The sequence below is a fragment of the Homo sapiens genome, chromosome 3 (genome assembly GCF_000001405.40).
Source record: "Homo sapiens chromosome 3, GRCh38.p14 Primary Assembly".
Taxonomy (NCBI): Eukaryota; Metazoa; Chordata; class Mammalia; order Primates; family Hominidae; genus Homo; species Homo sapiens.
Window position 1 is genome coordinate 38,703,082 of NC_000003.12, and position 25,833 is coordinate 38,728,914.

Consider the following 25,833-nt stretch of genomic DNA (forward strand, 5'->3'; position numbering starts at 1 on the left):
CGTTCTCCTTGTTCACCACTGACCCTTCCACACCACTGCTCTTCCTGTGTCTTGTAAAACCCCTTCTTGCTTTGAAGCTTTGCCACCTAGTTTTGTCACTTCTTCATTACTGCCGCTTGCCAAACTCTTGGTCCCTCTGCCTCAGTAATGATGGGTGAGGCTCTTGGCCATATTTGCCCACTCTTGGCTATTATCCTAGGCAACATTAATGTCCATGTGCATTACTCTTTGTCTCTTGGTTTATTGCACAAATCTCTAATGACCTAGTTTCTCCTAACTTAAAGCAGAATATTTCAGAAACTTACATCTCCCTCCAGCTACCATCTTAGATCTCTTCCCACCTTCAAAGCAAAATTTCTTGAAAGAGTTGTGTACAATCAGTGTCCCTCATTCACTCCTCAGCCCACATCAACAGAGCTTTTGCCTCTATCCTGACAGAGATTGTTCTCACTAAGATCATGAATGACTTCCCATAATATTAGATCCAAGGACGCTTGTCTGATATTGCCTAGTACCCTTCTACCTTGAAATGTTGCTTTCTTGGTCTCCACCATGCCTTACATTTCTGCTTCTTTTCTTGCCATTTGTGATGCTCTTTTATAGTCTCCTTTACCCAACTTTTAGACATCAGAGTTCTTCGAGGCTCAGTCTTGAGCATCCTTTGCTCTTCACCCCATTTTTTCTCCCTTGACAATTTATCCAGCCAGGAATTAACATATATGTGCAACTTTTGGCCAACTGTTTGCCTCTGTCACTGGACTGTAAACTGTAAGAGTAGGAACTTTGTCTGTCTTGCTCACTGCTCTAACCCTGGTGTCTGCATAGTGCCTGGCTGCAACAGATGCTCTGCAAATTTGTAAATGAATGGAAGACAGAATGGGCAGCTCTGAGTTAACCATAGCTCAAATGAAAATTTAAAGTCACCCTTTATTTGACTAAATTCAATTCTGTACCAAGGGTACATACTGAATGTATGGGATGTGCAAGCCTCTGCATGAGTGGCTATGAGGGAGGAAGAGAAGAACCTGTCTGATCCCTTCCAGGGAGCCCACGGGAGCTGCACAGCAAGCAGAGGGGGAAGTGCTGTGATGAGGCTGATCCTTGCCTTCTGCTTCATGGTGGGGATGGGTTGCTATCCTGTTGGGTTAGAGCAAAGAATCAGACCAAAGTGGCCTTTGCTCATGGCAGAACTGCTGGCTCACATCTTTCCTGGGGCAGGAGGGGGATTGCTGAGCCACTAATCCCTTCCATTTCATCACTGAAAATGGTGAAAAAATACAGGCCCATTCATGGTCACATGACTTCTAATTAAACAGAGCAGGCAACGGCATCGTTAAGTGGCTGGGTGTGAAGTTTGCCCTGGATATTCTGACTTTAGGGAATGGAGTAGCTTGCTAGCTGCTCTTGGATTAGCCCACGGTCAGGGATCATACCTTTGCAACCCTTGGTGCTCTCAGAGACGATGAAGTGGGTGATTGATTATGTGATATTCTCTAGAGCCTATTATATTTCTATAAAGTGGAGTATGTGAGAGCTGCTTTTATTGATTTCTGTAGCAGGGAATGTTAAAGAATAAAATTTCCCAGTCTTGTGGAATCCTTAACTTTTCCTATGGAAGAAACAAGATTTAGAGCCTGAGCATCATCAGAGGTGAGAGGAGGTGTGTGAGGCTCCTATGTGGTCCCAGGTAAGCTCTGTCATGAAATGGCACCCATGCACTGATGGGGCAGAAATCCTGTGTCAGTGCTTTGCTGGTATGACCAGCTTGACCTTTGGGGCTCCTAAGGGGAGAAGGTGGACATTCCAGGGCCAATAATCTGGCCAAAAGCAAGCTGGGCCTGGGAAGAAGGGTCTTAGTTGGGAGTGGGAATTTCCTTTTGCCTTGGATTTCTTTCTTGGTTCTAGACTTTGAAGAGGGAAGATGATCCGGCTTGTGCCACTGGGCATGTGGGTGTCAAAGATGTTGCCTGCCATTTGGATGCTGGTCAGGAGCTAGGATGGTCCAAGACCTATGGGTCCTGGAGTGCAGCCATCTGCAGGTGCTGCTTGGACTCTGCTTTGTGCTGATTTCTCTGTTGGCATCCCTGCCACTTCAAAGTTTTGTTTAAATGTTCTAGCCTTGCCTCAGCTATGCGAAATTAGGGAACAAAGGAAAGAGTGTTTACCTTGCTTGGGCCAGAATATTAAGGGGAGAGCCACGTTCCTCCACTAAGGCTAGCAAAAGGTTGAGAGTGAATTACTAATCCACTCTTCTTCCATTCAAAGGATGGAGAATCTCAGGAACAGAATTGGTTATGAGGTTTCACTTCCCCTCCACATGTGGAGGTCTCCCCCTGTGCCATCCTCGGAGGATCTTAGTTGCAGCTTAATTAGGAGAAATGGTGATTTTGTTGCAGGTCTTCCTGCCTGACCATCAACTCCGTCTCCCACTCCTATTTACTGCCTGGAATTTCAACATTAGGGTCATGCCTTTGTAGGTAGATGCCCTCTCCAGGGTCCCTTTTTGAAATATGATTTATCTTGTCCTAAGAATGTTGTCTTCCTTGAGGGGAGGAAGCTTTCTTTGGCAGCCTATGGGGTTGGGTGATGACAGGGAAGAAGCTGGGATGTCAAAGAGAGATTGAGTAGTATGTGGGGGAAGGTGCCAAAAACTTTCATGTTTTTGCCAAGGGTTGTCCCTAGCACACACCTCCTTGGCATCTGGCTCAAATGTGGATTCAATCTTACTCCAGCCACAAGTAAAGGCCAGTGTGGACTCAGCTGCTTGCTTCTCAGTAAGTCTTAGGGTCCTCCTCTCATTACCCATGACTTGAATGTGGTTGGGACTCAGCCTTTCACCTAATTTTAATTTTGAGCCTGCTCCTCTCCACTGAACTTGTTGATGGAGGGATACTCAATGAGCCTAAGGACTTTTGCTCAGGTTCACTCAAATCCAGTTATCTTGATTGTATGGGTGATTTAGGAAGAAAGCTGTGCCCCTACAGAGGTCTGAACCTCCTATCACTCCCCACTCCCCATTGTAATACTTCTTATCAGAATCTAGACTAGTAATAAATTCATGACCACTATTTCAAAATACAGTGTCAAAAGTCATCACTTTTTTCTCTTGTAAATGTTTTTCACTTTGTTCTGACAAAGTTTGAAGTAAATTATGCAAATCCTATACCTTGATTTAAAAAAATCTAATAGCTTGGCTAACAGAATGCATGTCTCCATAATTCATTTAGGGAAAGGCTTGTTCCTTTGTTAAATGTCCTTTGGACTTTTCCCTTGTGTGGGGAAGGGCTAATGAAATTGTGTCATCAGCAATACCTGTGATTTTCTTCACTAATGCTGCATCTTAGCCACAGAAAGTTTATGTAGAAGGACACAGGGCCAATTCCATTCACTGGAGTGGATGGCTCAGAAATTCTTTGAAGACGATCAACAATAATTTCTGACACATCAACATCTTCACCCCCAAACCTGTTCATCCATTCCCAAAAAAGTGCTATCTTAGGGCCTCTCAGAGGCTTGATGTTTTCTATCTTCTGGCAGAAGACTGAGAAGAACTTAGGTGATATCATGTGTGGTATGGGTAGTACATTTAATGGAGGAACGCAAAGCCATGTCTCTTGAGATCTTTATGAAAAAAGGAGTGAAACTAGAGTCTGGCCCTAATTTTTGCCCAATCTTTAAACTCGAGTGGGATAACTTTTGGTTCCTACTGGGCCACTTGACCACTACCATGACTGCATCTTGGATCCTGACAGGGGAGTTGGGTTGTTGTCATTTCCTCTCTATACCTGTAGGCGTGGGGTAGAATATAGGGTGATACTGGAGATCTACTGCGACCTAGACCATGATACATAACCACACAAGTTTAATCCCTGGGTTCTAACTACCCTTACTGTCACTTAGCTTAACCTGCCTCCAATCCTGTACTTGAACTCTAAAACTGTTGGAGAAACTCAGTGCTTCCCCCAACAGATTCATTTCAAATAGCTGTAAAAGGTATGTTTACTCCAGAAGACCAGAGTTGCTTCTTTTGAACTTCTCATTCCTTGGGCCTAGGAACCCTCATCACCCTCATCCCAACGTCAACCCAGATCTTCTCTTCCATAAACAGCACTCCCTCAGGCCCCTGCCTGACACAGGCATAGACTGTCATGTTGGATTCACAGACAGGCTGTGCTAGAGGAAACCTCTGGGGCTCACCAGGGGCCGTGGGATGGGCTTCTGGGGCTTCTTGGAGCCCAACTTCTTCATGGCATTGTAGTATTTCTTCTGCTCCTCTGTCATGAAGATGTCCTGGCCCCCTAAGTGCAGAGAGGGCCACACTGTTACTAAAGCAAGAGGAACCCCCTACGGATACCAAAATCAGAACAGGCAGGAGAGAAAGGATCATATCAACCTTCTCCCCTCCTCTGCAGATAGACAAACCAAGCCCAGCATCAAGGAGTGTCTTGCCACATCCAGTGTCGGAACGGTGGGACTGAGTTCCATTGCTGACTCCCTGCCTGGGTCTCTAAAGCAAAGCCAGTTTCTGTTCTCCAGGGATCCAGAGATGCTGGATAAAGGGTGGGGAGGGTTGGTAAACAGGACTCAAGGAGAAGGTACATGTTGGTTCAAATCTGAGCCTTGGATCTAGCCTGTTCATTCCAGTAAAATTCTTTGGGCTTCTAGAGTCACAGTCCCTCCCAGGGGGCAAGAGATTTCCTGAGGACCTTGAAGCAAAGACTCTGGGAGGGACAGAAGCCCTCAAATCTTTTCTGGAGAGGAGGAGATGAGGACAATTACTGCCTTATCCTTGGGTCCTTGGTCTCAGAGGGACCTCTGGTTCTCTTGAGGCCCTGCCAGTCACACTGCCCTCTGCTGTTACAGTGCCAGAAACTGCACCAACGAAGATGTTTTCCTCCCTTAGGATTGGGTATTAGTTTTTCTTTAGGGGCCCTTTGGATTTTCTTCATTCAAACTCTCACCTTTAGCTTCCTGACATAATTTGAAAGCCACCTATTTTAATAACATGTTTATGTAAGTTAGTCCCTGCAAATGCTGGGAAACTGGGCTGAGATCTGTGGAATTTGAAAGGAGATCTGAGAAGATCTGTGGACACAAAGGGCTTCCTGGGAGGACCATCTTTATGGGGGGAGAGAAGGAAAGGGCAAGGGCAGTGGGTAGGTGAGCTCCAGGTGAGGTCATGCTGAGAACTCTGACCAAGGATTCAGTAGATGCAGTTTCTCAGTGACCCCAGCCTGGTCACTAGCTCATCTCCTTCCGTTACCTAATATCTCCCTCTGTAATCTGTTTCTTGACCTCAGTTTTCTCATCTGTAAAATGAGAGAAATGATTGCTTCAATAATCTCAAACCTCCCCAGGGTACTAAATAGCACTGTCTTGTCCCAGACCTATCCTGTCCTCTTCTTATGCTCAGAACCCTGGGCAAGGATTTCCTGTAAGTGGAATGCCTGCCCTAGTAGGTATATATTTTAAATTGTTAATAGCAACAGCATCTGGTGCTCTTGAGGCGCTGCCAGTCACACTCCCCTCTGCTGTTACAGTGCCAGAAACTGCACCACCAAAGTTGTCTTATGCTCAGTGATCTTTGTTCAGGATTTTGTTTACCCCTCACCACAATCCAGAGAGTAGGTATTATTAGCCCCATTGAATGAATGAGAAAACTGAGACTCAGAGGGGTTTAAAATATTGCCAGCATGAGCCATCCACAAGTAGTTGAGTCAGGAATGCAAACCCAGGTTTGCATGTACTCTGTGACTTATCCATGTAGCCCCTTTTCTCTCGGGATCTCAGTTACGCAAATCTAGAACAGCGCCTATCTACCTCAGGGGTATGGAAGGCATTAAATGAAAGGATAATAGGAAAATACTTTATACCTTTATTGCCCTGACATTTTCTTATAAACATGAGAGGTTATCTGGGATTCGATTCCTATTAATCAGAGTCGGCACCCTTGGAGGCACAAGCCTTCCTCCCCATCCCAAGGAGGGTTGGGATTCTGCCAGTGCTGGGCCATGGCCTTTCCTGAGGTGCCCTGACTCAGTCCTTTGTGGGGATCATATCCCCCAACAGGTCAGCAAGTTCTAGATCCCTTTCTTTCCCTGCTTGTATTCTCCCAGGGCTCACTTGGAACACATCTAACACACCTGGTTCCAGTTGGGAAGACCAAGATCCCTTTGAGATGTGAATCCTGAGTGAGGATGTTAGTGGGGCATTGCTGACAGAGAGAAATGCAACTCTTCCTGCAACAGCAATCACAGGGCAAGGGTTAGCACTGATATTAAAGTGATGGGCTGTGAGTAGTGTTGGCTTTTGTCAGGAGGCCAGAGCTGGGCAGGGAACAGGAAATATAAGGCTTACCACTACAGCAGAAACCAGAAACTCCTGAGCACCACTTATCTTTTTTTTCTGTTGATTGAAGTTGTCAATTATGACCCCAACAAAGAGATTCAGTGTGAAGAAGCCTCCAAAAATGATGAAGATGACAAAGTACAAATACATGTACACGTTGTCCTCCCACTTGGGTTGCATGTTGACCTGTGACCAGACAAGGGAGAGTGGGAAGGAGGGTGGGTGTCTTAGTTCAGGTTCACTCTGAAAGCCAAGCCTAAGACATGGACCTGGGTGCAGGTGATTTATCTGGGAGGTGATCCAAGGAAGCAGGAATGAGGGAGTGGGGAAGAATAAGCGGGAATGGGAGAAGAGCCTGTGAAGAGGATGTTGTTAAGCAGGGCATCATTGTGGGCAACTGAAGCGCAATCCTACTGGGGTCCTCTGAGTAACTGTGTAGAGCACATGCAGGATTATATCACCAAGGGACAGGGAAACTGGAGTATTTATCCTCAGACTCCCAAAACTTATTGGTAAGGGTTGCCCCTAGGGACATTAAATCCCTGGTACTTGGGGGAGAAGTTGCTGCACAAGCTCCTAAGCCCTGGAGTCTTTATACAGAGAATCAGAAGTGCAGCCTGCAGGTGAAATCAGAAGTGGGCTAAGGGAAGAGGTGGCAGGGAATTGACAGTGCCTGCCACAGCAGGAAGTGGTCATTCCCCAATAGTGTCTCCCCAGCCTGGCTTTTTCTTTTCTTTTCTTTTTTTTTGAGATTGAGTCTCGCTGTCTCGCCCAAGCTGGAGTGCAGTGACGCAATCTCAGCTCACTGCAACTTCTGCCTCCCGGGTTCAAGAGATTCTCCTGTCTCAGTCTCCCGAGCAGCTGGGACTACAGGCACAAGCCGCCATGCCCTGCTAATTTCTTTCATATTTTAGTAGAGATGGGGTTTCACCGTATTGCCCAGGCTGGTCTCCTGAGCTCAGGCAATCTGCCCACCTCGGCCTCCCAAAGTGCTAGGATTACAGGCATGAACCACTGCGCCTGGCCCATCCTGGGTTTTATGATAGTTCCTGAGATTCTACCTCATTCCTCCCTATGCACCTTGATTTAGCTACTACCCTTGCTTTGCTCCCACCCTTGTCCAGGGAGTGGCTCACATGAACTGTCTCTTAGAGGTTATCTGATGCTTTCCTCAACAGTGAACAGAGGAAAACCTCGAGAAGCCTGGGGAGTGTAGATGAAAGGGGGAAAGCCTCGGTGGCTGAAACACTCAACAGAGAGCCAGCTGGACACTGCTGCAAGGAGGGACAGTGTGAGGTTGCTGGGTGATCGCCTCTTCCAGTACCAGGGTCATCGTCACTTCATTTCAAATGCAGACTGATATGGGTAGAATGCACAGAGGGGAAGGCTGTAGGGACAGTGGGCTGAGACTCACCTCCCGGGAATCAACAGCTGCATACATAATGTCCATCCAGCCTTTAAAGGTTGCCTGGAGACAAGGAGCAGAGGCCACTCAGTGTCTGCCCATCCATCTATACTGGACCCTTCCCAAGCCATGGTGGCCCAGTGAGAGAGGAGAGAGTCCTGTGTTGGAAAGGGCTTGTGCAGAAAGAATGAAAGGAAAAGTTCCCTTGGGTTACTTGACTAATCTCATATGATGATTTAAAGTAATCCCACATGTGGCTGTTTAAGAATAGAGTAGCATTAAAGACACAGAGCCTTTCAGAATGTAGTATGGACTGAGGACTGAGTGTCTAGGTGTCTGGTTCTAGTGCCAATTGCTACAAGTCTGCTCTGTGCACTTGCCTAAGGTTTCCCCTCTCAGGGCTGCCATTTTCTCAGCCACTTTCCCACCTTATGCACATGATGTAAGAATGGTATATCTTCCAGATGGAGAAGTTGAGAATAGAAGACCTCCATGTTCCTGCCTTCAGCTTTAGCATTCTTGAGGTCTAGAAACTGGGTGTGCCTTCCAGCATGTTCAGAGCATGCAAGACATCTTAGTTCTTACACTCCTAGGCCTGTTACAGCACTTAATGAGCTGTTTTAATTCACCTATTAGTCTGTTTCTCATACAGCATCAGTGTCCAAGCCCAGTTCTGACTGTATCTCCCAGGGCTGAGTAGTACCATGCCTGGCATACCAGAGCTACTCAGAGATTATTTGTTGAATAAATGCAAGAACCAATGGTGGAATGTAGACACTCAAGAGTAACTGCATGACAAATGTATAAGTAATTGTATTAACACTTGAATGAACAGAGGACTGAATGAACAGGTAGATGAAGGCAAGAAATGAGTGATTGACTGGATGATGAAAGAAAGAAAGACAGGATGAATGTGTTTGACTGTCATTATCACCAACATTATATATCATTACAATAGACCTAATGAGACATAATTTATTACCATTTAGGAAATGATGTGAAGTTGAAGACTGAACATGTGGCTATGCCGTGTCTATTTTGTACAGGTTCTGTGTTTTAACTCACCACCTGATAATCCCATGGCAGGCCCATCCCTTTATGCTATTCTACTAGCCCACACTTGTGTAATTGCACCACTGTGATATCATATTCACTAGGAAGGCCCTCTAGCCTCATGGTGTAGTCTGTAGGAATAGAGAATGACCTCAGTTCACACTGAGTGCTACTCCTTGCAAAGTCCCCACATAGCATCTTCTGGGAACCTAGACTCTCCATTTTATTGAGCGGCCAAAGCAAGAGATATGGTTGATCTCATGGTTGACTCACCACCTGCAGAAGTGCAAGGTAACCCATTGCAACATTATCAAAGTTGACTTTCACATTGACCCAGAAGAAGCTGCCAGTGGAGTTTTGAATCTTGCAGTCAGACTTGTTATTCACAATCGACAAAGGTACAAGGGAAAACTCTCCATCGGTATAGTTGATGCACCTCCAAAACTTCCCTGCGAAGAGGTTCACACCCATGATGCTGAAGATGAGCCAGAAGATGAGGCAGACGAGGAGGACATTCATGATGGATGGGATGGCGCCCACCAGGGCATCCACCACCACCTGGTGGGAGATAGAGAAAGACCTGGAACCTCCCAATGCCCCACCCCCTCTGCTGGATTCTATCTCTTTCTATACTCATTCAGGCTGCTTCATGAGCCAGTGGCCTTTGGAAGAAGCAAGAGAAGTGGGTTAATTAGTGCAATAATTCAGACTCAGAAGACTGAGAGACATTGGGCAGCTGAAGATGGATTTAGACCTTCTTCCCTTAACCTCATTCAGGGTGGGTTGCAGTGAGAAGATGGATGAGTTTACAAGCATACTGCACTCATTTAGAAGTGTGAGTGTGTGTATTATACTTGCACATACAGACTTCTAGAACCTTGACTTATTCTCCTTAAATACCATACATAAAACACAAACACAATTTAAATACAATTTAAAGTATGCCGTGGTCAAGAACCAGTGAAAACCTAAATCCATATTCACAAAATAGCTTATTTGTAAATAAGCAAATGAGAATCTATTAGATACAAAATAGAATAAATTTCAAACTATTTCAATCTTCGGGTCCTAGTGTTTGTAAAGGTACAAGTTAATTTCAAAAGCCCACTTTTGTTTTTGAAGCTATGATGACTACTTCCAGCCAATGATAGTGGAGCAAAGCAAAACCTTACTTTCTGCTGGGGAGCCATTTGTAATTATGAGGAAGAGGTGGGTGTCAATCAGCAATCTCTAAGACAAGGCTCTGGCTGTGAGCATTCTGTCCTGACGGAGGCAGTTAGGGCAAGGTGGAGGCTGACAGTGGTGGATAAGGAAAGGGGTGGATGGAAGGGAAAAATTTACAGGACCTGATGATTGCATTAAGTAGGAGAGAAGAAGCATTCCAGTGGGTGGCAGCTGAGGTAATGAGCTGATGATGTCACTCATGGAGTATTAGAGGAAAGACTCATTTGTCATGGAAAGACAGAGAACTTGGGATGTTCTGGAGATGTTGGCAATAAGAGGCAGAGTTGGGTGATTGAGATAATAGATGCTTGTGGAGCGATGATTCAGGATTACTTCACTAAGAGCAAAGGGGGTGAGGTCTGGGTCCTGGTGGCTGTAATATTTATGGGTGACAAGGGAAGATGGGCCCACAAAAAGACTTGAAAGAGAACTAAGAGAGTTAGGACATGCAGCACCACCAAAGTCAGAGCAGGAAGTGAAGACTCAGAGCCTACCTTTGGAGGTGGGGCCCCGGAGCTCAGGGTTGGTGGGATGGAGGGCATAAAGGGGGAAGGGTTACCAAAACCTGCAGACCAGAGAAGTTTTTTGTTTGTTTTTTGAGGCGGAGTCTCGCTCTGTCACCCAGGCTGGAGTATAATGGCACAATCTCGGCTCACTACCACCACACCTCGTGGTGGTAGTGATTTTTGTACTTTTAGCAGAGACAGGGTTTCGGCATGTTGGCCAGGGTGGTTTTGAACTCCTAACCTCAGGTGATCCGCCCGCCTCAGCCTCCCAAAGTGCTGGGATTACAGGCATGAACCACCGTGCCTGGCCAGATGAGAGAAGTTTTGAGATCAGACTTACCCGCATGCCTTCAAATCGAGAAAGAGCCCGCAGTGGCCGCAGAGCGCGAAGGGTTCGAAGGGCTTTGATGGGAGCCACTTCAGAATATTCCAGAATCTTCGCTGTGAGACTTATCAGTGAGATCTGAGTGCAGGAGAGGGCAGAAACATCACTCTAGGTTTCCAGAAAGGCAGTCCTCGTGGAAGGAGACAGGAACTCCCTGCCCAGCCTCCCATTCCTACACGTCTAAGCCATCATCCTAGCTCCCACCTTATTCGGAACTCCAATGAGAGGTCTAGAAAGAGTTTTGTCTCTTCCCTTTTATTAAAAATTTTATTCACCACTCTCTTAAACAATCTGGGCAAGAAAAACTCAGTCTCTAACATCACCAACCTCTGGTACGTAGGTGGCCAAGCTTCCAGTGTATTAAATCAACTCTTCCTTTTCCTTCTAGGGGCAGCAGTCAGGCCTCAACAACCTTGAAACTGATTTTCAGAGACTTGGAGACATGATGTTCCCTCCTAGGGGCTATGCTGAGAGTCTATTCTGAGGAATATAGTAATCTGAATTATATTTGCTCAGAGAAGTGGGGTGGAAAGAATAGTGGTTTGGGTGGGGTCTAATTCCCATTTGAACCCTGATTTTTTGTGAGCTTGGGTTAGTGCCTGGCTAGTCCAGGGTACTTTCACCCTTTGTAAAATGAAAAAGTCAGACTAAGAGAATTCCAAAGTTCTGATAGCTCTGCAGTTCTTCAAAAAGTTTCTGGTATGGGTCCATGAGATCTAGCTTCAATAGATATCTGAGATATAATGACTGACTTGTGAGCCCCTTTTGGTCTGTCAGTTTTCTTTAAGTGGTGGTCCAAAGACTGCAAAGGACAGAAACTTACATGAAAAAAGTTCCCCTGCTAGGAACTTTGAAGGTGCCAGGGAGATGTCATAGATACGGGCTATGACCCTGTCCTGTGAGATCTTAGCCACACCACAGATGGTGGGCTGAATTCAGGCTCAGCTTATCCTGGCAGTTAGGTGGGATGCACACAGGAGCTTCAGAAAAGAAGGGCTTTATACTTGAGTGGCAGAGCCCCAAGCAATGTCCATTCTTTGGATGAGTGGCTTATTGCACCAGGACAAAGAACCGGAATGGAAGGGACCCTCTTCCTTCATTCATGCAAGGCTCCAGACATCAGCAGGTGAGACCCAGCTGCCTGGGTGCATGAGGGTAGGGAGGTTTGGGGCCAGTTCCATGCTGAACCCTATTCAGTCTTTTGCTCAGCCCCCTGGGAAGTCTGCCTCACATGGATAATCTGCAGCTGGGGCAGACAGGTGCTGTGCCTCTCCAGCAAAGTCTGTCCACCCAAGCCCACCTCCATTCCCACTGCTCAGCCCACTAGCCTCCCAAGTAGTCTCCAGGCCCTAGTACTGCACCATGCATCTATTCTCCACTGCAAATCTGATTATGATCATGTCTTTCTCTTACTCCCAAACATCACTGGTACTTTATCACCCTCAGGATAAACTCCATACTCTGTAGCCTGTGTCATATGGTCACAACCTACTTTTCCAGTCATATTTCACCCACACATTCTACCCAAATCAAATTGTTCCCTGAGCATACTTGTGTCTGTGCCTTTGTTCAAGGTCAGCCTTTAGCTAAGACGGGCCTTCCCCAGTCCTCTCGCAGCTCCTTGGTCCTGCTCATTTCTATGCCCCACATCTAATGCCACCTCCCATAGGAAGAATTCTCAACCACCCCACCCCAAGAGTGGAAGAAGGCTCATGTCTCTGTGTCTCCAAGATACTAATTGCCCCCAGCAGTGCTCAACACATTCACCCTTATAATACATTTATTTCCATGTGTGTCTTGTCTGCTGAAAGACTAAAGTGTAAGATCCTGGAGATAGTGAGTATTTATTCTGTGCTTCTGTTTCTTACAAAGCACTTCATAAGACAATCCTGTATTCAATAGTTAGATGTATAGCAAATGGAAGAAAAATAGGATCATTGGGATGGCTAGAAGGAAAGAAAGAAAGAAGTACAGCTGGATGAAAAGTTGAAGGGTGATTGCATAGAGGGATGAATTAAAGGATACAATGATAAATAGGATAGATTTAATGTATAACATGAATACTATAGTTAATAATAGCATATTGTTTTCAGTATTTTTGCTCGCTGAGTAATTATAGCTGCTCTTGCCACAGGGGGAGAAATGGGTAACTATGTGAGATGATGGATATGTTAATATGTTCCACTATAGTAATCATTTATATATATATATATCTTATAACATCATTTTGTATCCCTTAAAAATTGATATGGTTTGGCTGTGTCCCCACCCAAATCTTATCTTGAATTCCCATGTGTTGTGGGAGGGGAGGGACCCTGTGGGAGGTAAGTGAATCATGGGAGCAGGTCTTTCCCATGCTGTTCTCATGATAGTGAATAAGTTTCATGAGATGTGACGGTATTATAAGGGGGAGTTTCCCTGCCCAACCTCTCTCTTTGCCTGCTGCCATCCACATAAGACGTGACTCGCACCTCCTTTCCTTTTGCCATGATTGTAAGGCTTCCCCAGCCATGTGAAGCTGTAAGTCCAATTAAACCTCTTTCTTTTATAAATTGCCCAGTCTTAGGTATGTCTTTATCAGCAGCATGAAAATAGACTAATACAAATATATACAATAAAATATATTTTTTAAAATTTTAAAAGATAACAGACACAAAAAGATGGATAGGATAGATAGTTGAATGGAAGGATGGGAGAAACAAACAAGAAAGGAAAAGTATGAAAGCAGGGAATAGTGAATGGATAGATGAGATAGGTGGATAAGAGAAGGATGGATGGCTGGGTAAAATGACTAATGCATGAATGGAAAGATGGGGAGCTGGACAGAATAGATGAATGGAATAAATTAGTGAATGACTGGAAGGTTGATAGGATGGATGAATGGATGATGAATGGAAGGGAAAGGGATGAATGAACAGATAAGTGGAAGAAAGGAAGAATAGATGGATAGGTTGAAACAAGAATGGAAAGATAGAAGAATGAGTGGATAGAAGGATGAGTGAGTAGAAGCATGCTTGGATGGAAGATGCGTGAATGAGTGAACAGAATGTTAGATGATTGGACAGTTGGATAGAAGAATGAATCAAAAGATAGAAAGATATAAGGGTTAAGGATGATGAATAGATGGAAGGAAGTTTAGAATAAAAGATTGGGCAGAAGAGAAGAGGGAAAGAAGAATGGGAATGGATGGATGGAAGGGGAGGACTGATGAAGATGTACAGCTGGAAGAAATAAAGATGGATGGATGTTTGGGAGGAAGGAAAAAGGAAGACTGAATGGTTGGATACAAAAGGTGAAATGTATGGAAGGAAGGATGGATGGTTGGAAGGAAGAATCAGTAGGAAGATGGATGAAATGAGTGCATGACCGTTTAAGGTGATTAGGACTGAGACTGGTGAGATCAACATAAGCAGGAGTGACTGTGCCCCCAAAGGGGTGGGACACCGGAATAAATAATTTTCCTTTCATTTATGAATAATTATTTCATATGCACAGAATTATCACCCATGACTCAGATTTCAGGCCTCACAGCTAATCCTTGTGGTACAGTGGCCTGAAGCTGCTAGTGCATTGGCATCAGGGAAGAAGAGAATTGAATGCACAGGCCTGCTATGGAGGACCTGCCAGCACAGGAGGCTGGACAGAATGTTCTGTGCTGAACCTCATCCAGCTTCAGGAGGCAAGCACCAAATACAGACACATTTCCTGACACCTCTGCTGGGCAGACCTTGCTGCTGGCAGCTGCTTGAGTGGGGCAGGCAGAGACCAACACAGCACATGCCTCACCCTGCTTGCAGAAACCCTCAGCTATGCGGCAGTGAACAGATAACTCAGTTAACCATGCTGCAAAGCAAAGAAGGTAGTGGCCTAGACAGTGATAGTGCAATGTGGTGGTTAAGATGAGGAAGAGATGACTGAGGAATCACATGTCTGATGTGTGAGAAGCACACAGTCAATTCTCTAATGCAGGGATTACTGGCCACAGGTTACCATGAGTGTGAACACATGAACTCCAGCTCATTACCTCTCCAAATGCGCCCTCTGTTCTTTTCAATGCCACTGGGGAGGAGGCAGCAGTATAAGCTCAGTGGTTCTAAGCCATGGCTGCACCTTGGAAATGCCTGGGAGCATTTATAAAATACAGGTGCCTGGGCACCACCCAAGACCAATAAGATCAGAATCTCTGGGGTAGTGGTGGTCGGTCACTGCATATTTCATAGCTCCCCAGGTGATTCTCAAGTGCAGCCAGGTGTGAGGACCACAGAACCGCAGGTGGGAAGATTCTCTGTGCTCACAGTTCATGGCTCCCCAAGGTCCAGAAGACCCATCTATGGATGCAGGGCCATAAGACCTCTGAGAGCTGCATGTGTCATCTCACTTTGGATGTAAAAATGCAGAGGATTGCAGGGATCTTTCTGAATGGAGACCTAATAACTCACCTAACAGTCACTATTGTGTCACAGTCACATACTGCCTGGACTTTACCACTCATGGGTGTCAGGGCTATTCTCAGACTCCTCACTAAATGCTCAAAACTTTTCTTTGGAGTAGCCCTTGAGGGCCAGGTCTCTGAGCTTCCTTTGCCCTAGCTGTAGCCAGGAGTCAGAGGGGAGGACCCCAAACCCCACGTGTTCCCACTGAGCCACTCACATTCACAATGAGGAAGTCCAGCCAGCACCAGGCATTGGTGAAGTACTTTTTGAAGCCATAGGCCACCCACTTAAGCAGCATCTCGAACACAAAGATAAAGGTGAAGACCCTGTCAGTGTACTCCAGCAAAGCTTTCACCGTGGGCTTCTGGTCCAGGTAATAGTCTTCAAAGGCCTGGAAGGAAGAAAGGATGCAGAATGGCAGGCTGCCTGGACCCACAGCACTGGGGCCCAGACTGATAGGGAAGGACCCAGCCAGCCCTGACCACAGTCCCTGGAAGGGGATTTGGTAGTCAGCTTGCCAGTAGCATTTTGTTTGCTGTGGGGAGGTAAAGTGGGATAGTGGAGGAGGTACTGTGAGATCCAAAGCATGACTTCTTCAGGGCCAATGGGGACAAACAGCCCTGCTGATACTTGCAGGGATGCTGAATGCAAGGGAGAAAGAAAACCTTCTCAAATTGGATTTTGGAAGTGAACCAAAGGGATGCTAACAGTGACTTTGTTTAAAAATAAAAGCATCAACGGATGTTCACAGGCAGTTTACAAAAATGAAAGTAAGAATCGCCAACACACCTCTGAAAAAGAATGTTCTATCTCACTGGTAATCAAGGAAATTCAAATTAAAAGAAGATGCTGTTTTTCTTTTATCAGACTGGTGGAGATGGAAAAGAATAGGGGAAACCCTAGGATGCTGTGGCTGTGGGGGGCTGCCACTCTTTTTTTTTTTTTTTTTTTTTTTTTTTTTTTTTTTTTTTTTTTTGAGACGGAGTCTCGCTCTGTCGCCCAGGCTGGAGTGCAGTAGCGGGATCTCGGCTCACTGCAAGCTCTGCCTCCCAGGTTCACGCCATTCTCCTGCCTCAGCCTCCCAAGTAGCTGGGACTACAGGCGCCCGCCACTACGCCCGGCTAATTTTTTGTATTTTTAGTAGAGACGGGGTTTCACCGTTTTAGCCGGGATGGTCTCGATCTCCTGACCTCATGATCCGCCCGCCTCAGCCTCCCAAAGTGCTGGGATTACAGGCGTGAGCCACCGCGCCCGGCCACTCTTACAAGTGACTGGCAGGAGTGAAAACCTGGCCAGTCCTGTGTGAAGCCAAATTGGCAATGTGACTCAGAGGTTTCAGGAACCTAGCAATTCCTCCTTCAAGCACTAATCCTAAGGACACTGGAGGCTGTTGGTGCCCACTCAGGTCCTCTTTAAGGGGCCAGTGCCCCTATCCTTCATCTGCTGGGAGTGTCGGCTGCTAATAGTTCATGGATGCAGACACCCCCTTCCTGATGGCTTCGCTGGGCTGGAGGAAACTGTGTCCACCTTGGGAAATGCTTATCCTCCCCGCTGGGGCAGCCCTCAGCCAGGGACAGTGACAGGGGGATTTACAAGGCTGTCTTCTTTGCCTCAAGGTGGGACAGCTCTTTGGTGTCCTTTGTGCTTCAGGGCTTTCCATGGGATCAGCTGAAGCCGGATTTCAACTGAACCCACATCTTTTCTCAGCTTCCGATTCTGTGTCTAGGACGAGGACTAAGATGGGAGATTATCCAACGTCTCTAAGGGAGTACACACAGGGAATATTCAATGTGTATTAGAAGTAAACATAGAGATTGGTTGAGTAAATTATAAAGGAATATGTTATAGCCATTAAATGAGATAATATGAGACTATTTACTGAGAAAAATGTACTGAGGTTATAGAATGCATAAATGTGGTTTTATTTTTGTAATATGTGTATATTTTATGCATAAGCAAGATGAGAAAGAGGTATACCAGCATGTTTTCAAGTGAGTTTCTCTTTGAGTGATAGGGAAATGGATGATTTTTTTTTCTTTACCTTTTTCTATAATTTCCAAGTATTTTTTTGGTACTTTACTTTGTCAGATGAAAATGCATGTTATTTTTAAAAGGTACTCAAAGTGAAAGCCTAAAGAAGGCTAAATTTGGTGCCAGCCTGTTCAGTCCCAGGGGAAGGAGATGGGAGGGAAGGGAGAGCTGCAGGGGGCGGGCTGGGCTGGCGCAGTGCTGCAGGTCTGAGCTTCCTCCTGGGAATGTGGGGGGTGGACCGGGGTGTGAAGAGAAGGGGGCTAGAGAGAGAAGGGAGGGAGCAAGGGAGAGCAGAGAAGCAAAATGAGGAGAGAAGGCCCACAAGCCAATGACGTAGTGAGGAGAGCACCTGGCCAACAGCACATGTGGTTATTACTTTAATCCAGCAGGACTGGAAGGAGAAGAGCATAGGTGTGGAGAAAGCACTGCCCAGCCCTCTCTTGCCCCTGCAATTTGGCCTCTACACTGTGCTGAGGTCCGTGTGGACAATCACTGCCCTGTGCCAGGGCACTGGGCACCTGCAGCCGCTGTCACACAGTTCCCCCTCCACCCAGGATGGCAGACCAGTCCCTGCCCCGAAACTCTCTTCTCCCTTGGCTTTGCGTCATTGCCACCCTAGTTTTCCTCCCACCTCTCAGATCCTGCCTCGTCCCGCACCTGTGCTCCTCCCTAAAGCTGAGGCCATGCACCGAGCAGTTTTGTCACCCTTCCTGGACAATCTGGCATTTAGATGGAGGCCTAGATATTTAGTAGGTTGTTTTTAGAGAGTAAATGACACATGAGGCGCAAGATGAGTGAAAACACTGCAGCCGTGAATCGGAAGAGCGGGACTGTAGTCCTAGCCCTTCAACTAATTAGCTGCCACCCTGAACTCTCTATTCCCAGCCCTTCAACTAATTACCTGAAGCCCCTCATGCCTTTGGGCTTTGACTTCCTCATTTAGAAAATGCAAACAACTGAGGATGTTAAGTTCCTTCCTGTGTCTATGTCTACCTTGGTCTATTGGCGGAGTAGTTGAGATTGTGTAAGGAGCTTAAGCCACAGTACAGAGAGAACCTTCCTTCTTTGCTCTACAAAGCCCAGTATTCAGCCAGGGCCTTAGAGATGTCTCCCAACTCTGAATCTCTATTCCCATAAGGCCTTGTTATTCAAAGTGTGGGTCACTGAGGGCAGTGCAAGCATCACCTGGGAGCTTGTTAGAAATGCAAATTCTCAGGCCCTGCCACAGATTTATGGAATGAGAATCTGCATTTGAACAAGCTCCTGGGAGATTAAATTTTGAGAAGTGCTATTGTAATGATTTTCTGTGAGCTTTAAAGGAGTAATTAGTAGCATTTGGAAGTGGTTTGATAAGGAAAGATAGTCCTTTTTGTATTGTAGGCCTTCAGAGAAGGCCGTGTGTTGGGGAGGTCAGAGGGTGGGAAGCCAGGGGCTTCGGGATTAAATAAGGGCAAAGCTGGGTTTTGCTACTGACAAGTTGGGTGACCTTGGACAAGCCTTTTAAACATTTTGAGTGTCAGTTTCCCCATCTATATAGTGGGAGGCATACACTCACTCACTCAAATGCTTGCAGCCAGGTTTGGCAGGCCATGGCACGGGCACCTTGAACACCTCCCATGCTCTGCTGCTAAGAGGGGCCCTCGCCCTGGGCTGCAGCTCTCCTTCTAGTGACAAGGTTGGGGACTTTCAGCTCAGTAGTCAGGAGAACCCACTGATGCAGCTCCAGGGCCTTTGGATTGTAGGAGATTCCTATCTGGAGGATTTGGGGGCAGGGACTATGCCTCCCCTTACCAGAGATCCACTGCTGAGCAGGATCATGAAGATGATGAAGCTCTCAAACCAGCTGTGCTCCACGATACGGTAGCAAGTCTTGCGCACCTGCCAGCCCACATCCCATGGACTCTTGGTGGTATCCAGTTTGCAGCAGGGACAGTGGCGAATGCATCCTGTGGGGAGAGGTGACTGATGGTGGGTGATGGCCAGTGGGCAAAGGGGATAATTTCTGCTCCTGCTGCAGAGAAACCATTCTGCTAGGAAACCCACTTGTCATGCCCTTGGAAAAAAATTCTTTCCTGGAATATGGGTGAAGAGGGGTCCCTTCCAGGGAGTCCCTCAATCCAGACCAACAGGTGTTCCTCTCCATCATCAGTCTTGCCCACTCTGATGTTTTTCCTAGCCATATCCTTCTTACAGATGACACCAGTGGTCCCTGTCCTTCTGCCCACCTATACCTGGAAAACAGACAAGCTACGGCGTATGAGCCTGGGGGTGCCTGAGGGGGATATGCTCCAAGCCCAAGCTGAACTGAGGGCCACGACGTGGCTGGGATGGGGATTGGGTCCAGCCCAGCTCAGCCCAGCCCAGGGTCAAATAAAACTATTAATAAAAACTCAAGTATTTAAAAAATTTTTCTTTGTATTTTTAGAAAGCATTGAGGCCACAATTCCCTTTATAGAATGGACTCTTGATTCATTCATTGCACAAATATTTATTGAGAATGTAATGTGCCTCACTGTTCTAAACACTGAGAGGAAAGATGACTAAGACACAGGTTCTGCTTTTGAGAGCTAAACAAAAGATTGAGGGAAGCAGATACATCATGGCCTTCCTCTGGGTCCTTCATGGTCCAAATCAAGAGTTTTCAGTGGTGTTTATGGTGGTGACTACGTTTCCCCCTTTCAACTCAAGAGGGCTGGTTTAGAACTCACGGAGGGGTTTTTGAGGGTAAAGAGGAAGGCCCACGTCTCTCCGTAGTGTCTGATAGGGCATGAGATGCAGATACCACGGCCAGGCTGCTGCCACCTGGGGCATGTGTGTCTGATGCGGGCGCCCTCAAGCCTGGGAGTGAGGCAGCAAGTGGGCACAGCTTGTTTGTCTTCTGTGGATCCCAGGTGAGTGTTCGCTCAACTGGATTCTGGCCCTAATTAACATCAGTGTGAGGGGGCCTGTGGCTGTCCCTTCACCTTCTGTGAAGCAGTCATCTGGTTCTTCCAGGTCATCTGCCAGCTCAGGGATCTTCCTCAGGATTTCCTCAGGATCTAGGCAGTCCACCGTGCTGCCCTCAGAGGAGCTTGTGTCGTCCACTCCCTGCAGGGGAGAAGCCCAGGGCAGTGAACTCGTCTCTCCGCGGGGCCCGGGGAATTGCACACGGTCACTGCAGGTTCAACTGCACCCATGTTTGGTGCCTCGCCAGCTGAGGCCTGGAACACTGCTCTTCTCCCTGGAGCCCCAGAGGCTTAGCTGTGTGAGACTGTAAACCTTCGGGGCCCCTGATGGAGTGCTGGCAATGGCCCGAGACACCGTAATTACACCCATAACGACTCTCAGCATTCACTGGGCTTGAATATTTAATCATGGAGTAATGCTGCAGGGGCCTGCTGCCCTCCTGGCAGCTCCAGCCCTATAATGTCTCCAGATGAATTCAATTAGGGGTTGAAGTTGCTCTCATATTAGTAAACCTGATAGCTTTGCTAATGGACCCAAATGGTGGGGCGGGTCCCCATTTGTCGCTGTCAGGCCCCTCCTGCCTAGCCGGGGTCATGGACAAGAAAACAAAAACAAAAAACCAACACCCAGAAGTTGTGTACTGAAAACATTGAGTAGGGACAACTAGCCAGGGGAGTCCTTGGAACATTTGGGAAGAAGCATGACATCCACGTGCAGAATGTGACAGCCCTCACCCAGTGGGAACCAAGCGGCTTCTGTTCACCCACAGCCCCCAAATCCCGTCCCAGCCCTCCCTCTTATCTTACCCTGCTGTGGTCAGCCTTGCCTAGGGCACACAGCCAGTAGCTGACATTCTTCAAGCTGAAGGGCTTGATAACTTTGGGGATGAATTATGACTTCCTTATCTCTGTTGAGCCCAGTGCCTGTCACAAAGTCAGCACTCAGTGGCTAGGTGTCAAATTAAATTCTTGAATTGAAGGCAGTGTTATTAAAGATGCTAAACTTTTATAGATGCCTCTTTCCCTATAGCTTGTTTCCTTCAAGATTTGTAAGTGAAACCACATTTATTTTTACCTTGTATAAGACAATCCTAAACCTCTAATCTTCCAGCTCAGTCTCTGTGAGGCTGTCACTTCACTACTCACCTATAGAGAGCCTCTCCCTAGCCCCAGGCTACTTTTGCCTAGAGAAAATGATGTGGACAAAAGAAAGTGGGGGAGAATCACAAGGGAAAACTTCTTCATCTGTGAGCACCTCCAACTCTTATTTGCTGGCTCTGAAAGATATTTGACTTTCTTTGTGCGTTGTCTTTCGTTTCCTTTTTTCTTGGCTGTCATTTCCTGGGCACTTACTTTGTCTCAGGCAGGACCTAAACATTTGACAAGCAGCATCTCATTTAAGCTTCAAAATAATCCTACCAAGTAGGCATTACCATTCAGTTTCATAGATGAATAAATGGCGGCTCAGAGAGGTTTGGGAACTGATCTTAGGTCCCACAGCTTGTGGAGTCTCACTCTTTCTTTCTATACCTAGAACCACCCTGGAGTGAGATTGTGGCAATGGTATATGGTGAAAGTTGAAATTGTGCGGATTAGCCGGAGGTTGGGAGGGACTTTAAAAATTCCCAGGATAAGAAATGAGGTTATGTGATTGAGTGCAGTCTGGAATACCCCACCTTCACCGCCACCCTCCAGCCTCTACCAGCCCACTGCTCAGTGTCTGGCTGGCTGTCCAACCTCTCCAGGAAGCTGACATACCTACCTCAGCAGGGACCTGAGGAACAGACTCATCTTTCCACGTCTCACCCAGGGATGGAGCCAGGTCCTCAGAAGATGTTCCAGTGCCTGGGCTCCTGGGTGTCAGGTGGTCCCCACACCTCTCGACTTGCTGCAGCTGCTCCTGCTAGTGAGAGAGGGTCCCAACTGGGTGCCTGGCCCCACCCTTAGATGACCAGTTCTAAATTTGAAGGGATCTTGCACATCACAGGCTGCCAGAGCCAAGAGTTTCATATATGCAACTCATGTACATACATATATACATACACGTGTGTGAAGTGAGCATGAAGACTATAGCTAGATAGACCTATGTTTTATCCTTGGGCTCCATTAATTATAAGATGTGTGACCTTAGGCAAGTTGTTTAACCTCTCTAATCTTCATTTTTCCCAGCTTCAAAATTGAAAAGGCTAGATCTGCATCATTCAGCTGTTTTGATGACTAAATATGTTAGCGCTTGTAAAACACTTTGCACGAAGTGCTTGGCTCAATAGATTTTAGCCATGACCATTGTTATTTGTCCAGAGGTCAAAATTGTAGGGAACTTGGCCACCTGGAGCTCCCTAAGAGCCCCAAAGTAACTGAAAATGCTTCTGAGTGGCAGACAGCTGTCACAGAGTTCATGCTCTCTGCTGTTACCTAGACAAAGGCATGTAAAATATGGCAGCTGATAACAGCAGCTGCTGGAACACAAGTGACGACTGCAGGGAAGAAGGCTATGGGAGAGCTACAGACTCAAAGCACAGCTTTTCTGGACCACTTAGTAACCTGGCCAGCAGCCCTGCATGTTCCTGAGGCCTCACAGGGTTCCCTGCCTTCCCACGTTGGGCAGAGGTGAATGCCCTGAGTTACTGAGAAGAGGTTAGCGAGGGTTGATATACCAGCTTAAGGTAGTAAGGAATAGTGCCAAGTATTTAAAAATATATATTATCAAATGGCTCAAATGTGCTTTAAATTAGTTGGTGCCAAAAGGAGCGTGTCATTTCCCTGTGATACCACTTGTGGGGAAAAGCTGGCTAAATGAGTCACATAAGAATCAGGACTTCTTAGGATGCTGGTAAAGATTAGATGAGCCTTGCTCTTGGACAACATCCTGTTCTTAGAGAAATCTCATTAGCATCTCATGCACAGAGCCTGGGTTGGGCAGAGCGCATGGGACAGCTGTGTGAAAGACAATCCCCAAGCACCTCAAGGTGGCCTTTTGCTCACCTGCTGCCCCCCACTCCCTGTTTGTCTGCCTGGGGAATTCTGACTTTTTCTTCCAGGCCCTGCTCAAACGCCAACTCCTCTGGAAAGCTTGGCATGGTTTAAACTTCTTTATGTCAAGGTCTCCTCTGCATTTCCCTTTTGCCCTTTGTCACTCAAGCCCTGAAGCCCCTCCCCACTGCCTGTGGCTGTCCCTTGGGGATAACTCTTACCTGTCCTTTGGGGATCACTTCCTGCTGGAAGCTCTGAGCATCTTCCCCACCATCATCCTCCAAGTCATCAAGATCAGATTCACCCTCAGCAATGGGCACAGAGACCCACACAGTCGGATTAGCGATGAAGTCACTGTGCTCATCCCTGGGGCCTCTGGGAGCTTGGAGCCCTCCAGAGCTCCCCCTGGCAGTGTTGGCAGCAATGTGGTTCTCAGCCTTGGAGCTGGAGAGTGGGAGTTTCACCACCAGCTCAGGCTCTGCCTTGGGCTGGGGGAATGGGCAGGACCTGCTGAAGAAGCTGCAAAGAGCCTGTTTGGTACGATGGCCAAAGACCTGGATCCGTGCCAGGGCCACCTGCAGGTTGTTCACCTCCCCATCGTCCTCCGGGGCTGTGAGGTTGTCAGCACTGAAAGAGTTCAATAGCAGGGCGATGAACAGGTTAAGCACCTGAAGAGAAGGAATGGAAGGGAAGATTGATCAATCTCTAAGCTGAGCCCCACATTGGCCTACCGGGTTAGCAGCTGGCTGGCAAGACAGCCACGGCCTGGGCCTCTTCCTGCCCACCCGGGATGCTGTCCCTTTTGGGGGAATGGACTTTCTGAGAGCAGTTGAGGGAAAGTTTGGGGATGTCCTGGAGTGACCCGCCTCAGTGGACGAGGCTTGGAAGCATATTTTCCACCATAAAGGAGGAGCCCCCCGCTGAGCAGAGGGACATTTAGGGACAACAGAGAGAAGGCACCAGCCCTTCCTGCAACCACCCTCATGTGCCAAAGCCCTGGGCTCTGTTCCTGACTCTGGAATCCTGGGCACATCTTGCTGCTTCCAGTTCTTCACTTGAGAGCAGATGAAGAGCGGTTGTGAAGACAAAATGATATGAGAAATGTAAAAGTGCTCAGAGGGGTAAACTTCCTGTCTGAGGGTGAGGGGCATCTGTGGCTCTGCAGGGATGGTGGGCTCAGCCTGGAAGAACAGAGTTTCTGGGATGCAGGCAGAGGCATCCCTGGCTCAGGCACCAGGGTGGAAAAGACTAAAGAGTCTGGATTTGTTGTTGCTTCCCTTTTCTTGGTTTAGCTTTCTTCTGTCTATAAAACTCATGAGGAAAGAACCCAAGTTGGTTGATGTCCAGGGCAATAAGAAAGGGGCTTCTGGAAGACTGCATCCTCCCACACAACCAGTCAGTCCCAGGAGGGCAAGGACCCCACCATGACCAGAGTGGGTGGAGACAAGCTGAGGGCAGGGGGCCAGGCTGGGGCGGAGAAGGGGTATTGGGGCTTATTGGCAAGTGAGTCTCCAGAGGGGCTTCCTCCAAACATGGAGTAGATTTTGTTATTATTTCTGTGGCCTTGGATGTTGTCCGTGACCCATTGTGCCCCCTCCCTGCAGCCTCTCCCCCTGCTCCCAGCTAGGACCTGTGCAGCTTGGAGAAATCAGTCAGCTCTTACTTCCCTGAATAAAAATGTTTTCTGAGCCCCCTCAGATTGGGGAAGGACATTTTTCCTTTAACAGCTAATAGACACCGTTTATTGAGTTCCTGCCTCAGCCCAGACATTGCATTAGGCAATTTGCATATGTCATCTCCTGTCATTTAATTCTCCCAGTAAACCCATGAGTAAGCATTATTTTCTTGATTTTAAGGAAATTAGATCTTGAGGAGATTAAGTCTCTTGCCTGGGGTCACCCACCTAGTAAATGGTGGAGCAGAGATTCTACACCAGGTCTTTCTTTTCTAATCATATGTTCTCATTCCTGCAAGTCAGACTGCCTCCCAAGGCACACTTCTTGTAATGAATCCCACATGAATTTGAAAAGTTTGAAGACTTTTCAACCAGAGAAGTACAATCTGGGCATAAAAATGCAGATCAAAGCTTTTTCAGATAACCCAGAAGCCTTCTCCTTTCCCCAGGAGACAGTGCCCCCAGCAGGGTTCACCACTCACCACCAGGTTCCCTAGCACCATCACCGTCAAGAAAAGGATGAGGCATATGGATTTTTGGCCAACTTCCATGCAGGCCCACATGTTCTCAATCCACTCTCCACAGAGGATACGGAAGACAATGAGGAAAGAGTGGAAGAAGTCGTGCATGTGCCAGCGGGGCCAGTCTTCATGGGGCGCGGAGATATTTTTTCGGTTGTTACGGTAGTTTTCCCCTAGGAGCTGCTTGCCAACCAGAGCAAAGACAAAGACAATGATGGCCAGGATGATGGTGAGGTTCCCCAGTGCCCCCACTGAGTTTCCGATGATCTTGATGAGTGTGTTTAAGGTGGGCCAGGATTTGGCCAGCTTGAATACGCGCAGCTGCAGAGAAACA

At 47.1% G+C, this 25,833-nt stretch overlaps 1 protein-coding gene across 6 annotated transcripts in view, besides 1 other annotated feature; it reads right to left on the reverse strand.

The window, feature by feature from the left end:
- SCN10A (sodium voltage-gated channel alpha subunit 10) overlaps positions 1 to 25,833 on the reverse strand; it is a 119,411-nt gene that overhangs the window by 6,275 nt on the left and 87,303 nt on the right. For 4 of the 6 annotated variants that reach the window (NM_006514.4, XM_011533994.3, XM_005265371.4 and 1 more), the window contains 11 exon segments: positions 25,461 to 25,820; positions 23,525 to 23,971; positions 22,093 to 22,233; positions 20,349 to 20,472; positions 19,177 to 19,331; positions 15,572 to 15,745; positions 10,877 to 10,999; positions 9,080 to 9,364; positions 7,763 to 7,816; positions 6,397 to 6,534; positions 4,198 to 4,302 (listed from right to left, as the gene is read on the reverse strand). In NM_006514.4, coding sequence (NP_006505.4) covers positions 4,198 to 4,302; positions 6,397 to 6,534; positions 7,763 to 7,816; positions 9,080 to 9,364; positions 10,877 to 10,999; positions 15,572 to 15,745; positions 19,177 to 19,331; positions 20,349 to 20,472; positions 22,093 to 22,233; positions 23,525 to 23,971; positions 25,461 to 25,820 — 2,106 coding nt within the window. 6 annotated transcript variants of the gene reach the window in all.
- Positions 19,055 to 23,835: an enhancer, noted in NCBI's record as "VISTA enhancer hs2268". NCBI's record gives its function as "enhancer in: dorsal root ganglion[4/5] | trigeminal V (ganglion, cranial)[5/5]" and the evidence as "EXISTENCE:transgenic organism evidence [ECO:0001131][PMID:17130149]".